Raw genomic sequence first — 12,348 nt, 5'->3', positions numbered from 1 at the left:
TCCCAAAATGCAAACGGGATCACATTCAATCTGCTAAAAAATCTGCAGTCTAGCCGGGGATGGTGGCTCATGCCTACAATCCCAGCACTTTGGGAGGCTGAGGCAAAAGGATTACTTGAGGCCATGAGTTTCGAGATCAGGCTGGGCAACAGAGTGAGACCCTGCTTCTAAAAAAAACAAAACTGCAATTTGATCTCTCAGCATGATTCCACGTTTAAGCTTCTGAGCACAGCACAGTAGGATCTGGTCCATGCCTGCTGGTTCAACCTCATCTTCCACCACTCCACACTTCACACTCTATACACCATGGAATGCGAAACTACTCGTAGTTCTCAAGCTTGCATGCCTTCAGACCTTGCTGTTCCTTTTCGTGTCTGCCTGGCAAGCCCCTCCTCACCCTGAAGTCTCAGAGCACATAGTTGCTGTAAGTTTTCCTGCAATCGTTTGGCCAGTCTGAGGGGCTCGCATGCTCCAGCCACACTGTGTTTGGACCTACATAGAAGCCACTGCTTACAGTTTTTTTGTTTTTGTTTTTGTTTTTTTGAGACAGGATCTCACCCTGTCTTCCAGGCTGGAATGCAGTGGTGTGATCATAGCTCACTATAACCTCAAACCCCTGGGCTCAAGAGAACCTCTCGCCTCAGTCTCGGGAGTAGCAGGGACTACAGGCACGAGGCACCATGCCCGGCTAATTGTTTTTCTTTTGTAGAGATGGAGTCTCACTGTGTTGCCCAGGCTGATCTTGAATTCCTGGGCTCAAGTGATCCTCCCACCTCAGACTCCCAAAGTATTGGGATTACAGGCGTTAGCCACCACACCTAGCCTCTATGTCTTTTCATATTTACCCCAGAGAATCCATGCTAAGAAGATGGCTTTCAGTACAACCAGTCAATAAATAAATATTCCTGTCTATGCATAGCCAACCACAGGTGGGCACATAGGCTATGCTCAGCACGTGCTTATAGGTTTGAGGGCCTAGGTGGAGGAGGTTGCGGAGGGTATGGGTCTGGGGCCTGTCTGGCTCCAACCTCACAGCTTTGGCTCAGGACTGGTGAAGTACCCATAGTGGGTACTTGGCTCATCTGCTGAAGCTTGCAGGCCCTCTGGCTTCTCATTTGGCATACAGGATCAACAGCTGGTAACCTGAAAGCTACATTTGGACTGCATGTTTTGTTGGATCAGTAGTTATTTAATTAAAGATAGTTACTGACATTCAAAAGTTGGGTTTCACATACAAATTAGGATTCCTGACTTCTTTAAAAATGGGAGGATATGGCAGGGCCACTTGGCAGCAACCCAGTGACATGGGGGCGGGGGTGCAGTGTTTCATCTGTACTTGAGAGCACCAGAGCCCCCACAAGGCCTGGCCACATCAACATGAGTTTGGCAATCTGCTGTACAAGTGAAAGATGTGGGCTGGGGAGTCGGATGGCCTGTGTGGAGTCCTGGCTCTGGCACTGACTAGCGGCAACACCTTGAGCCAATCACTTATCCATGCCAAAGTTGCTTTGTCTGTAAAATCAGAACCCTTCAGAGGATTCTTGGAAGGGCTGAATGAGGTCTCATGATGTGTTTAGCAGGGCATGTGTTCAGCACCTGGTAGCTGTGAACTGATGGAGCCTGGAAGGGAGAGAGCAGGTGCAGGGCAGACCACGCAGGAGGCTTCTCGTCACCAATGAACATTTATTGAGTGTCCACATGTGCACAGCTTTGAACTTGGCGATCACAGAACGCACTGGGGGAGGGAAGCAAGGGATCAAGAGTGTGTGTGTGTGTGTGTGTGTGTGTGTGTGTGTGTGTGTGTGTGTGTGTGGTCCCCCTGGGTTTATAAGAAAGGTAGTCCCTGCTGGAGCCGCCAGTCGCGTCTCTGCAGAGAGGAGTCATAGCAGGGGTGGGAGTTAAAGCCAGGCACCACGGTGGCAGTGGAGTGTAATCACTGGGGAAACATGCGGATTCTGGGGAAGTGTCCCTCCTGTTCCTGGCTCCAGCCAGGCCAGATGGCACCAGGGGGACAGGAATCAGATGCTCAGGTGTCCAAGCAGGGATAAGGACAGGCAAAATAAATAACCCCCCAACCCCCATCGTCACTCTGCTGCAACACGACACAAAGGTTTAAAGATCTGGGCCCAAAGACTCTGGGTCCCTTCAAGCAAGCTCAGGTGGAAGGAGGTTTCCCCACCCCCCACCAGGCCTGTCTGCCCCAGGTTGCCCTAGGATGGAGGCAGTTCAGACCCTGGGTCACTGAAGCTGATAGGAAGAACTGCGATATCAATGGCCTAAGCCTGCTGTCTGCCCAAGGGAGCCAAGGGCAAGAGCCAAAGGGCCAATTTAAAGGACGTGGACCTGGGGGGCCAGAGGAGGCACCACAGCCGAGGGGAGCCCACGCCCTGGCCGGCAGGGCACATGGGCTGAGGCAGTCTGCTCCTGCCAGCCCTGTCTTACCCTGGAGCCTCCCTCCTGCAGGGGAGCCAGACATCGGGCACAATGACACCTAGTGCCCCCCTCCCTGGGGGCTGCTCCAACCTTCCCCGGCCTGGCGGGGACAACCACGTTGATTTCCAAGCCGATCCCTGCCCCCATGGGGGCCTGAGGGGCGGAACGCAGTTCCTTACACTTGAGGGGTGGGCACCATGCCCTTGCCCTCAGAAAAGCCAGAAAGCTGGGGTGTTTTGGGGAGGAAGTCTGGGGAGGGGGGGGCCAGATTGGGGGCTTCAGGGAAGATGCCTCCTCCCTCCTTCCCTCTCTGCCCGCCCCTGGGTCTGTCCCCGGTGGACACCCCTCAGGGCTCTGACAGGCACTGCTCCAAGGCAGCCATGCGGTAGTGGCTGGCCGTCTCCTCGCCCGCCTGCAGCCTCATGGCCTCCCGGCACAGCCGGTTGGCCCGCGCCAGCTCCACCAGGACACCCTGATAGGCGGCCACCATCTCGGGCTTGACAGAGTTGGGGCTGACACTGCCTAGCAGCTGGAGCAGCTCCTGCGGCCAGCGGGAGCGCAGGGCAGCGGGGGCCAGCCAGGGCAGCAGAGGCACACAGCCGGTGAAGGCCTGCATGCCCAGGAACCAGAGCTCCTGCAGGTCGGCCCAGATGCCCTCATACTCAGGGGACAGGGCTAGCACTGCCTGGTCTGAGCCCGGGGTGGCCCGCGCCACGTGGGACTGTGATAGGAAGAGGATGGCAGCTGCGAAGAACCCTCGGGATGCTGGTGTTCCCTGAAGAGCTGCAAGGTAACGGAAGGAGTGGGGCATGAATCGGACAGGCCAGCTGCTGTGTCAGACCCTTCCCTAGTCCTCTGTGTAGACACATGCAGGAGCCAGGGCACAGCCTGGAATCAGACTGCCTGCGTTGAAACCCTGCCTTAGATGCTCACTGTGTGACCTTGGGTAATTAACTTTTCTGGGTCTGTTTCTTTACTTGTAAAATGGGCCAATAGTGCTCATCTTAGAAATTTGTTGTGAGAATTAAATGTGATCATCTTGGTACACTCAACCACCAAGACCTCTACCGGCACTGGAGGTGGGGGTGAGTCACAGGGTCAGATGGGAGAGAGAACCCCTCAGGGTTCTGGACACAGAGCTCAGACACAGGTTAAGGGAGTTGCACCATTTGATCCTTGGGCCAGAAGAGGGCGCCAGAGAGGAACATAAGCAAGTGACCCTGCTTTGCTTACTGGCTGTTCAAGGGGTGACCCTCACACTGCAGGTGCTCTCCAGGAAGCTGTCAACCTAACCTGGTGGTATTTGAGGGTGAGCCAGAACTGGGACCATGAAATTGGGGGCTGCAGAGATGCAGCCTGGGACTGAGAGTGCAGAGTGGGCTCCTGGTGTACAGGGATGTGCACCCCTTCCCATGACGGGGTACCCTGCTGGGAACCCCTCAAAAGGAACACAGAGGCAGTGGAAGGTACGGGCATGTTACGCCCTGTTCCCAGGCATCTGCTCAGCTCCTCCAACCTGACAGATGGGGCACAGGGAACAGGCAGGGACAGAGGGACCCAAGCAGACACCCACAGCCAAAGAGGGAGACACGGAGGGCTGCCAGGGGCTGGAGGGGACGTCCCTCCCCCTGCAAACAGCCAGAGTGAGGCAGAGCTAGGGAGAAGGTGTGCATAGAGGGACACCAAGTGCTGAAGGCTGTCACTGATGGGGGTGAGGTACCGAGCAGAGCAGAGAAAAACATCAATGGAAGGAAGTCAGGTTTCTGACTCAAGGCCTGGGTGGGGGCGGCTCCACCTTGAAAACACTGGATTCAGATTCCTCTGGCTGCCAGGGATTCCAGGTGCCTATGCCTGTGCCTGTGAGCAGGTCTGTACTTAACACCCACCAGACTTTGCCTTAAAAGTCTTCAGAAGAAAGAGAATGTTAGCATTTTGGGAAGAACGGTGGGGGTAGGGGATGGAGATACACTGCAAAGATTTCCTCTTGCTTAGAAAATGCTGCAAAACCATCTTCTAAAAATGGTGACTTTTGCCCCAAACACAGGAGGTCCACCCAGGTCTTCTGTCCTCACCCATCAGGACTGGATCCCCAGTTCTTACCTGGAGAGGTGCTAAGGAGCCGGGCCATGAGGAGCCCCAGGGTGGCCACATTAGCAGCCAGAAGCAGCCTTCCCTGTTGCTGCACTAGTGCTGGTAGCGACGTCATGAGGGTGTTCATTAGAGATGTGAAGCAGGCGTCACGCCTGGAAAAGAAAGGGGGGAAGGATGGAGGTAGGTGGGGGTCTAGTACAGCCAAATCAAGCCCTTGGCAAGAAATTAGGCAGTAGGGTGATTAACTTTGGGCCCCAAACATAGCATCTGGGGGGCAGAGATTGGAACAAGCAGACATGCTGAGACAGTACCTGGGGGTTCCAGCATGCCGAATCCTTGTGCGGGGCTGGCTATGTCTACTCTGAGACCCCCATGCTACCACTAACAAATCCATGGGCATGGGGGGCAAAGTAGGAGACTGAGAATTGAGGCAACTGGGCAGCCTCCTTTGCCTCCTCCGGCCTCCTCCCCCACCTCTCCCGAGCCCCTCACTTGATCAGCCCCGGTGCGGTGACCACGAGGTTGAGGAAGATGTGGCAGCAGGTCTGCAGGCCAATCTCCACGCTGTCAGGCAGCACCGAGGTGTCGTGGCCAGGGGATGTGAGTTCCCACTGCTGCAGGAAATACTTGCACAGAAGCGAGGGGGCCCCTTCCTTGATCAGGATCTCCCGGGGCCCATCTTCAACGGTCAGGTGGCACCAGCCAGGCAGGAGGAGCCTGGGGATGTGGAAGGGACAGACGTGTGTGGGATTGGGAGAGATGAAGGCACATAGATTCCCTTTTTAGGGCACCTTGCCTAAGAGAAATGGAAGTAGGGGAGAAGGACACATCCTCGCAGGTACCACAGAAAAAGTACAAGCTTCAGAGTCGCACAACCCAGGACCAAACTTGGGCTCTGCCACAAAGTGTGACTGTGGGCAAGTGACTTTAATCTCTATGAGCCTCAGTTTCCTAATCTTTCATATGTGAATGAGACTTCTGTTATATTTACCACGTGGACCAAATGAGATCATTTTGGTAAAGGGTATAGCAAAATACCTGGCTCGTAGTAGGTGCTCAATAAGTATAAGTTCTCTTTTAACTGAGAAATCTGGGGTTGGCAAGTGACACCTGGCAGCCGAGGAGTCCTGTGGGAACAAGCCCCCCAAAACAGAAATAACCCTAAGGGATATCTCATGGCCCAATCAGGAAGCCTGGCACAGCTCAGTTTGTGGGGAGGGGTGTCCTTGTGTTAACGCTTTTCGGTAGAATGATCTAGCTGGACAGACTGTAACTACAGACTCACCGGAGAGCGTCTCCTGGCCAGGTGGGCCCTGGGGTGGTGGGGGAGATGGCCAGGTTGGCCACCTGCTGGGAAAGGTCATTGGCCTCCTCGGCCTCCTCGTAGAGGGTCTTGGCATAGCGGACGAGGAAGGGCAGCAGCTGGCACACCTCCTTACGCAAGGATGAGGTCTCCTCGGCCAGCCAGGCACCCAGGATCCGCACCGAGGCAAACACAAAGGGCTCCTTCTGCTTCTCTGACCCCACCTGTTGCCACAGGACCCCCTTGAGATGGAGCAGGACCAGGGACCCTCCCTGCCTTGCCAGAGGCCAGCCAGCTAGAAATAATACAACTAGAAGGAAATTCTGGCCTGTGAGCCTTTCAAAGGCAGGCCCCAACCTTTATTCTGTCCCATGAACCCAGCACCTAGCATGTGGTAGGGACGCACACAAGGGACTGGCACAGAGTGAGCCAGGCCCTCCACACACGTCTGCTGAGTGAACTGGGCCTGAGTGAATTGAGTGACATGCCCCCGTACTCGCTGAGGCTCCAGTCACATCTCCCTAACTCCCTACCTCTGGAGTGTCTCAAGGCTAGAAGGAAATTCATAGGTCAAAAGCTAAGTTAAACACCCTTTACAGCAGCTCTGACCTGGGGTGGGAGGGCAGGTTCCTGGCTACTGTGTAACTGCTCCCAATGGTGGGAGTGAGGGGATGCTCTCTTTTGTGCTAAGTCAGAAAAAAGACATGAGCTTAGCGTGGTGCATGGAATATATGGCTGGTGAGCTCGGTGGCTGGAGCAGGCCATTAAAGAGACCAGAGTCATGACTGAATCCCTGTGGGACAGGACAGCTGGCCTCTCAGGCGGGGAGGCAGGAGGGGATGTAGGGGAGGCAGGCGAATTGATCTAGCCAGACCTCTATAGAGGCCAGGAACCAGGCAGCCCTGCTTCTCTTCCCTGCACCATTAGAAGTTCGGGTGTGTGCGTGTATAAAACAATGCTATGGAGTGAGCAGAACAGACTGCTTCAATCTTGTGTGCATGTGTTGGGGAGAGGTGTGTGGCGTGTAGTGTGTGTGTATTGGGGGGAGCGTTTGAGTGGGAGGTTACTGTGTTGTGTGTGTGTGCGTGTGTGTGTACTGTGATGTGAGTGCACATATGGTGTGTGGTATGGTGCTTGTGTGGAGGGAGGGAGAGAGAGGGAGGTTGGGCCGCACACTACTCCCTGGAGTGCTGGCTACAGTATCAGCTTGTGTGGACATGCAGCTTCGCTGTCTCCCCATTATTCTCCTCCCCCTTGCCTCCCAGCTCCAGCACTGGCTCCCCCCATACTGGGCCCCCTCTGTGGGTCACTGCACCCTCACCTGCAGCAGGTAGTGGATAACAGCCCCTATGGCCTCCTTCATGACGCTCACGAGCTGCACCTTCTGTGGCTCCTTAAGCAGTGACTGCTCACAGCGAGTGCATTCCTGGATCCCCAACTCCATGAGGGCATAGCAGGCGGTCACCACATCCTCTTTCACCTCCGTGCCCGTCTCCTCCAGTGCCAGCCGCACTTCCACGCACGCCAGATTCACCAGCAGGGCCAGGAACTTGCTCCCGGAGCTGCCCGCCGGGATCCAGTCGGAGCCGCAGGCGTGTGCCAGGCGGGCTGCCAGCTTCAGTGCAGGGTTGCGCTGCCAGGAGCTCAGCTTGCTTCCCAGGATGCGTGCCAGCCCGGCCTGCAGATCCCGGTAGCATTCAGGGGGCACGGTTGTCGGGGGCAAAAAGAGGGGCAGCAGCTGGCAGAGCTCAAACTTGCTGGCATCCTCAGCTTTCTGGAAATCCTCACTGAGGCCCCGCAACACGGCCAGCAGGTCGGGCTCCGCCTCCTTCCAGCACTGTGTCTCGGCAGCAGCCAGCAGCCCCACCAGGAGTGCCAGGGCCTGGTCAAAGCCATAGCCGTGCCCCAGGTATGCCTGGCATAGGGCAGACACGGTGCCACCAGCAATGAGGTGCCGAGGCCCTCTGGGTGTGCCTGCTACAGCCGTCAGGCACTGGTAGGTGTCATCAATCATGGAGCGGCGGGCAGCATCGTCCGGGTCCCCCCGGGCTGTGAGGAAGGTGCTAAGAATGGGAATCTTGTTCAGGACTTGGGGATGGGCGGCCAGTTCAGGGTCACTGCAGAAGCAGGCCAGCAGGGCCACACCCAAAGCCCGCAGAACATGGTCAGGGCAGCCATCCGGCGCCTCCTTGGTGGTCAGGAGACGATTGGGGAAGGTGAAGCCGACAGCATCGAAGATCCGCCGCCGAGTTTTGGCATCTATGTCACCTGCTTTGACTGCCTTGGTCACCTATAGGGGGTATGTGCTATCATCAGGATGAAAGGAAGAAGTGGGAAAGACTGTCCCTCTCCTGCATCCTGGGGCACTGAGGACTAGCAAGATGAGGTTATGCAACAGGACTCATCTGAGGTCATTTCATCCAGCTCCTTTTTTCTCCTTAGAGGCAGATAAATGTGACCTCTGGGATCCCTCTCATCTGTGACTGTCCCATGGAAGTGAGGTCTAGTCTTCCTCAACCATTCATTTGAGCATTTCAACACCTGGCCAGTTGAGAAGTTCTTCCTGATGTCTAAATGCCCACAACCTGGGATGGAAGGGGCTTAGAACTCAATGTTTTAAGATCTCCCAAGGATTTAAAGTCCTTCCTTAATTGCTCCCTCCAGAGAAGTCCCTGATCCATTTCTGCCACCTTCTCAGGGGAAATGGCTCCTGTGTCTCGCCGCTCCGCCTGTCAAAACATTTCCCCTTACATTTCACCTAAACACCTCCTCTGCTGCAGTGTGAGCCCTTGACTCCAGAGCCTTCTCCTTGTTGCCATGGCAAACAAGCAGCGGCTGTACTCCCTCCTCCCTTCACCCCCCACACACAACCCCCCCTTCCTAGCACTGCAGCTTCTGCTCTGCTGTCCCCAGCTTGGGTTCCTCCAAAAAGGCTAAGCCCCAAACTAGCTCCCATTCCTTAACCTACCTACTGCCATCCTGGCCTTCCCCTAGGACCCCTCCCCAGCCACTTCCAGCCCTGCTACTCTCTCCAGGCCCAGAACAACCATCCCCAGCCCTCAAGTACTCTGCACTAGTTACTACCTGCTGCTGTTACCCTATGAGTCAGCTTCCATCTGCTCTGGGACGCCCCAGAAAACAGACCCAGGCAGCCCCTAGTGCCACAGCCTTATTCAGTCCCATTCTCCTCTTTGCCCCCATTCTCAGGGGGAGCAAAAAAGAGCACAAAGGTAGGGGTCTTGGGCCTTCGTTGGTGCCTCCAGGGTTGCTAGCACTACGTACATATCCTTGGGGACTCACTGACCCCATTCCTTGGGGGCCCAACCACCCAGCCCTTCCCACCTCCCAATTTTCAGCCAGTTCCTTACTAGCAGCAGGGCTGCAAACTGCTCGCTGTCATTCTTGGCCTCACGGAGGGCTCCCAGGTAGCGCTCCAGGGTGGGGTTTCGGCCCTCTGCCTGGTTCAGAGCTGGCTCGCAATCCGAGGCCATGATGCTCGCCTTGCCCAACTGTGAACACAAGAGGGACTGAGCATCCCTCTGCAGAGGAGGGACGGGGGTGGGGTGGGGGTGAGAGTGGAGGATGGAGGGAGGGAGGGATTAGCACAGAGGGAGGGGAGGAGAGAATCTGGAGGGGTGGACTCCTCAGGACTGACCTCCCCCCAGAAGCCCCTTTAAGGGGCTGGATCTGCAAATCCTTAGGGATAAAGAAGGGACCCTGGTCCAAGGTCACCTCCAGAAAGCGGGAAAGAAGGACCATGCATGCTGCTGCTCAGCCGGACAGCTCTCCTCACCAGTCTCCTGGGGGTGGGCGGGAGCTGGCCCCACTGCTCAGCTGTCCCCCTGGCACCGGAGGCTGGGTTTTATCTCCCTCCACAGGGACACAGAGGGAGTGAGTGGTGAGGACAGACAGGGAGAAATGGAGACATACATGGGTGAAGTTCGATTATCCGGACTCAGGCTGACATGGGAGAAAAGGACACCCCAGGCTTCCTTTCCCCTCCCTTCTTCAGAGGCAGAGATACGCTTCAGAAGTGAGAATACAAGACGCTCAACAGGGAAGGCTTGGAGGCCCCTTTGGGGACCCCACCCCTCCAGCCAGGGCTCTCAGTCGCCCCCGCAGGCTCCTTGCCTCCTCTCCTTTCCCTCCCTCGGGTAGAGGCTGCAGCAGCAGCAGCAGCGGCGGCGGCAGCAGCAGAATTAACCCCTTGCGCTCCCTCTTCTCGCCCTCCCCGTCCCGCTACCAGCCTGTGGATGCCGGCAGGGGCTGGAGAAGCAAGAGGGGGTCCCGGATAGTTCCCAGGACAACGGAGAATCCAAAAGCCGGATAATCGAAGCAGGGCTGCTGAGATGGGGAGATGAGAAGGGGAGGAGGGTTCCTGGCGGTCACCACCTGTCCCGCCGCAGCCAGGTCACAACACGACATTGATGAAGTCACGACAGGGCGGCGATGAGATCACACTTCACGATGGCGCGGTGATGTCACGGAGAGATCACGTCAAAATCACGACATGGGAGACAGCCCCCAAAGATGACAGGGCAAATTAAAAAAAAAAAAGATATATATTGAAAAGGGCTGTGACAAAATGGAGTCTCGACAGGGCACGATGGTGTCGCGATATGGCGCGATGGAGTCGCGATAGGGTCCCCGGGGTGTGTCGGCATCGATCAGCGCCGGCTCGGAGAGGCCCCGGCTGGGATGCAGGGGAGGGCCCGAAGGGGGCTGAGCTCACCAGGCTGCGGCCCCGAGCGGCGAAGTCTTCTCCCAGCGCGATGCTCCGGGAGCCTCGGGCCGCTGCTCACGCCGCGTTGCCCACTCCTGGCTCCAGGCTGCTGCAGCTCCACCCCCACCCCCGCACCGCTCTTGACGAATCCGCGGCTGCTTCACTCCGGGCTCTGGCCAATGGCAAGTCAGGGTGCTAAGCAGTAGGGGGTGCCGCCGTTGCCGCCATCTTGCTTGTGGGTATTGCCCGAGTCTGGGGGCTGGGGCTCGAGCGAAGGAGGCAAGGTGCAGACTGCCTCTGGAGAGCGGGCGGCGAGAGGCTGGGGGCCCAGATTCCTTCGCTTGTGCGTAGTTTTACCCGCCCAGCACTGCCCCTCCTCCCCCTTGGTCTCGCGGCCGGCATTGCCCTTCCCGGGGGAGGGGCGGGAGGGCTTGGTTAGCATGGAGAGTGTGTTTCCGGGTCGGTCCCGGGGAGGTGGGAGGAGGCGGTGTTTCCGGCCGCCGTCGCTGTCCAGGGAGGCTGAGGCGAGAGGTAGCTGTCCGGGTGGGGAGCCCGCACTACCTTCTTCCTCTTCCTCCTCCTCCTCCGGGTGAGGGGAGCGAAGGTTGGGGGTCCCCGAGCCCATGGACCAGGAGGAGGCGGAGGCCGCCGAGAGCCGGGGCCCCGCTATGTGGCCCTGAGCCCCGGTAGGTGGCCGGGGGCGGCTGGCTGCCAGGCCGAGGACCATGGGCTCAGGGGAGGGGCAAGCGGGACGGGCGATGTCAGCGGCTGCGCTGGCCGGATGTTGGGTCCGGAGGTGGCGCCCCTGGCTCGGCCAGGGCAGCCAGCTGCTTCTGTCCTTGCAGGTGCGCAGCTTGGGTCCCAGGCTGAACCCCGCTTCTCTCGGGCCTGGGCCTAGTCATGCAGCTCCCTCCATCCCCTGAGAGCCAGGCAGACAGCCGGGGTTCGGGGCGCTGCCGTCCTTCTTCCACCTTCGACCTCTGCAGCCTAGTCTTTAGTTGCTGTCTCTGATGTTTGGTCTCTCCACCGAGATAGAAAGTTGGTGCAGAATGAAGAGGGGATGGGGTTGAGCACGATGTGTCCATTATAATGTGAAACCTGCCTCATCCACGATTTTGAAAATTATGCCCCACAGAGGGTCCTGTAGTGGCTGCAGTGAGCACAAAGGTGAAATGAAGGAAGTCAAAATTGATAACCTCTGGCGGGATTCCAGGAACTCTTTGGCTTCTGGTCTCATAGTGGTTGTGTCCAACTGACAGTAGTTGCAGTTAGTGAAGAGCATTAGCTGACTCTCCTTGTGCTCTCTCCTGTGATTAACAGACTGAAAACTAGGAACAAATTGGAAAGACGACCTCCCAGAACAATCTGTTCATTTTTCCAGCTATTTGGAAAACAGTGTCTGCAAATATAAGCAAAGCTATTCATGGCAGTCTGTTCTGTAACTTTCCCAAATATCTGAGACTTTTTAAAAAAGAGCTTTATTCTCGATTACTCATACCAACTGAATAGATTGTTTCAGACGTGCTCCATCGTTGTTCAAACATATCTTATCGCTGTGTACATAAATGGAGTTCCACGTATGTAGTTGACAGACTGAACTGTGATACATCCCCCATCAACCTGAAGTATTAAGTAAACATTACCCCCTGCTCTGTCTGAACAGCTGCTGCAACAGAGAGTGCTTTTATTTTGGGTGTACTTGTAACGCCCTAAATGCCAGAACTATTGTGAGCTTCTCTAGATTTTCATTTGTCAAGTATTGTGGGGGTGTGTGTTCTCTCCCTGGGTTGTTACCCTT

At 56.5% G+C, this 12,348-nt stretch overlaps 2 protein-coding genes across 20 annotated transcripts in view, besides 8 other annotated features; one reads left to right on the top strand and one right to left on the bottom strand.

The window, feature by feature from the left end:
* Nucleotides 1–1,663: 1,663 nt before the first annotated feature.
* Nucleotides 1,664–10,644, bottom strand: NCDN (neurochondrin). 3 transcript variants are annotated; one of them, NM_001014839.2, is made up of 8 exons: nt 10,560–10,644; nt 10,220–10,287; nt 9,196–9,336; nt 7,149–8,117; nt 5,810–6,051; nt 5,017–5,241; nt 4,534–4,676; nt 1,664–3,216 (listed from the first exon to the last, which is right to left on the bottom strand). In NM_001014839.2, the coding sequence occupies exons 2-8, from the start codon at nt 10,250–10,252 to the stop codon at nt 2,780–2,782; spliced, it is 2,190 nt and encodes a 729-aa protein (NP_001014839.1). In that variant the 5' UTR covers nt 10,253–10,287; nt 10,560–10,644; the 3' UTR covers nt 1,664–2,779. The 3 variants fall into 3 exon arrangements, with proteins under 3 accessions (NP_001014839.1, NP_055099.1, NP_001014841.1); NM_014284.3 differs by having other exon boundaries at nt 10,220–10,644; NM_001014841.2 differs by lacking the exon at nt 10,220–10,287.
* Nucleotides 7,612–8,246: an enhancer, noted in NCBI's record as "H3K27ac-H3K4me1 hESC enhancer chr1:36025798-36026432 (GRCh37/hg19 assembly coordinates)". NCBI's record gives its function as "activates a minimal SCP1, AML or CMV promoter by ChIP-STARR-seq in naive H9 embryonic stem cells {active_cell/tissue: H9 hESC(naive)}" and the evidence as "EXISTENCE:reporter gene assay evidence [ECO:0000049][PMID:30033119]".
* Nucleotides 8,703–9,428: an enhancer, noted in NCBI's record as "H3K4me1 hESC enhancer chr1:36024616-36025341 (GRCh37/hg19 assembly coordinates)". NCBI's record gives its function as "activates a minimal SCP1, AML or CMV promoter by ChIP-STARR-seq in primed H9 embryonic stem cells {active_cell/tissue: H9 hESC(primed)}" and the evidence as "EXISTENCE:reporter gene assay evidence [ECO:0000049][PMID:30033119]".
* Nucleotides 9,816–10,025: a silencer, noted in NCBI's record as "silent region_643". NCBI's record gives its function as "represses an Ori minimal core promoter by ATAC-STARR-seq in GM12878 lymphoblastoid cells {active_cell/tissue: GM12878}" and the evidence as "EXISTENCE:reporter gene assay evidence [ECO:0000049][PMID:35858748]".
* Nucleotides 10,156–10,882: an enhancer, noted in NCBI's record as "NANOG-H3K27ac-H3K4me1 hESC enhancer chr1:36023162-36023888 (GRCh37/hg19 assembly coordinates)". NCBI's record gives its function as "activates a minimal SCP1, AML or CMV promoter by ChIP-STARR-seq in primed H9 embryonic stem cells {active_cell/tissue: H9 hESC(primed)}" and the evidence as "EXISTENCE:reporter gene assay evidence [ECO:0000049][PMID:30033119]".
* The window catches only part of KIAA0319L (KIAA0319 like), a 124,170-nt gene continuing 122,603 nt past the window's right edge, over nt 10,782–12,348 (top strand). For 9 of the 17 annotated variants that reach the window (XM_047430826.1, XM_047430825.1, XM_047430829.1 and 6 more), the window contains exon 1: nt 11,040–11,139. The gene's annotated coding sequence lies outside the window, so the exon portion shown is untranslated. Of the gene's footprint in view, nt 10,894–11,039; nt 11,237–11,371; nt 11,396–12,348 lie in introns of those variants that run through there. The other 8 variants (NM_024874.5, XM_017002366.2, XM_047430832.1 and 5 more) reach the window with 3 other exon arrangements.
* Nucleotides 10,807–10,866: an enhancer, noted in NCBI's record as "active region_732". NCBI's record gives its function as "activates an Ori minimal core promoter by ATAC-STARR-seq in GM12878 lymphoblastoid cells {active_cell/tissue: GM12878}" and the evidence as "EXISTENCE:reporter gene assay evidence [ECO:0000049][PMID:35858748]".
* Nucleotides 10,883–11,610: an enhancer, noted in NCBI's record as "NANOG-H3K27ac-H3K4me1 hESC enhancer chr1:36022434-36023161 (GRCh37/hg19 assembly coordinates)". NCBI's record gives its function as "activates a minimal SCP1, AML or CMV promoter by ChIP-STARR-seq in primed H9 embryonic stem cells {active_cell/tissue: H9 hESC(primed)}" and the evidence as "EXISTENCE:reporter gene assay evidence [ECO:0000049][PMID:30033119]".
* Nucleotides 11,097–11,236: a silencer, noted in NCBI's record as "silent region_642". NCBI's record gives its function as "represses an Ori minimal core promoter by ATAC-STARR-seq in GM12878 lymphoblastoid cells {active_cell/tissue: GM12878}" and the evidence as "EXISTENCE:reporter gene assay evidence [ECO:0000049][PMID:35858748]".
* Nucleotides 11,247–11,346: a silencer, noted in NCBI's record as "silent region_641". NCBI's record gives its function as "represses an Ori minimal core promoter by ATAC-STARR-seq in GM12878 lymphoblastoid cells {active_cell/tissue: GM12878}" and the evidence as "EXISTENCE:reporter gene assay evidence [ECO:0000049][PMID:35858748]".

This window comes from Homo sapiens, chromosome 1, assembly GCF_000001405.40.
Source record: "Homo sapiens chromosome 1, GRCh38.p14 Primary Assembly".
NCBI classification, from domain to species: Eukaryota; Metazoa; Chordata; class Mammalia; order Primates; family Hominidae; genus Homo; species Homo sapiens.
The sequence above is the reverse complement of the archived record's forward strand: the minus strand, read 5'-3'. Positions and strand labels throughout refer to the sequence as shown.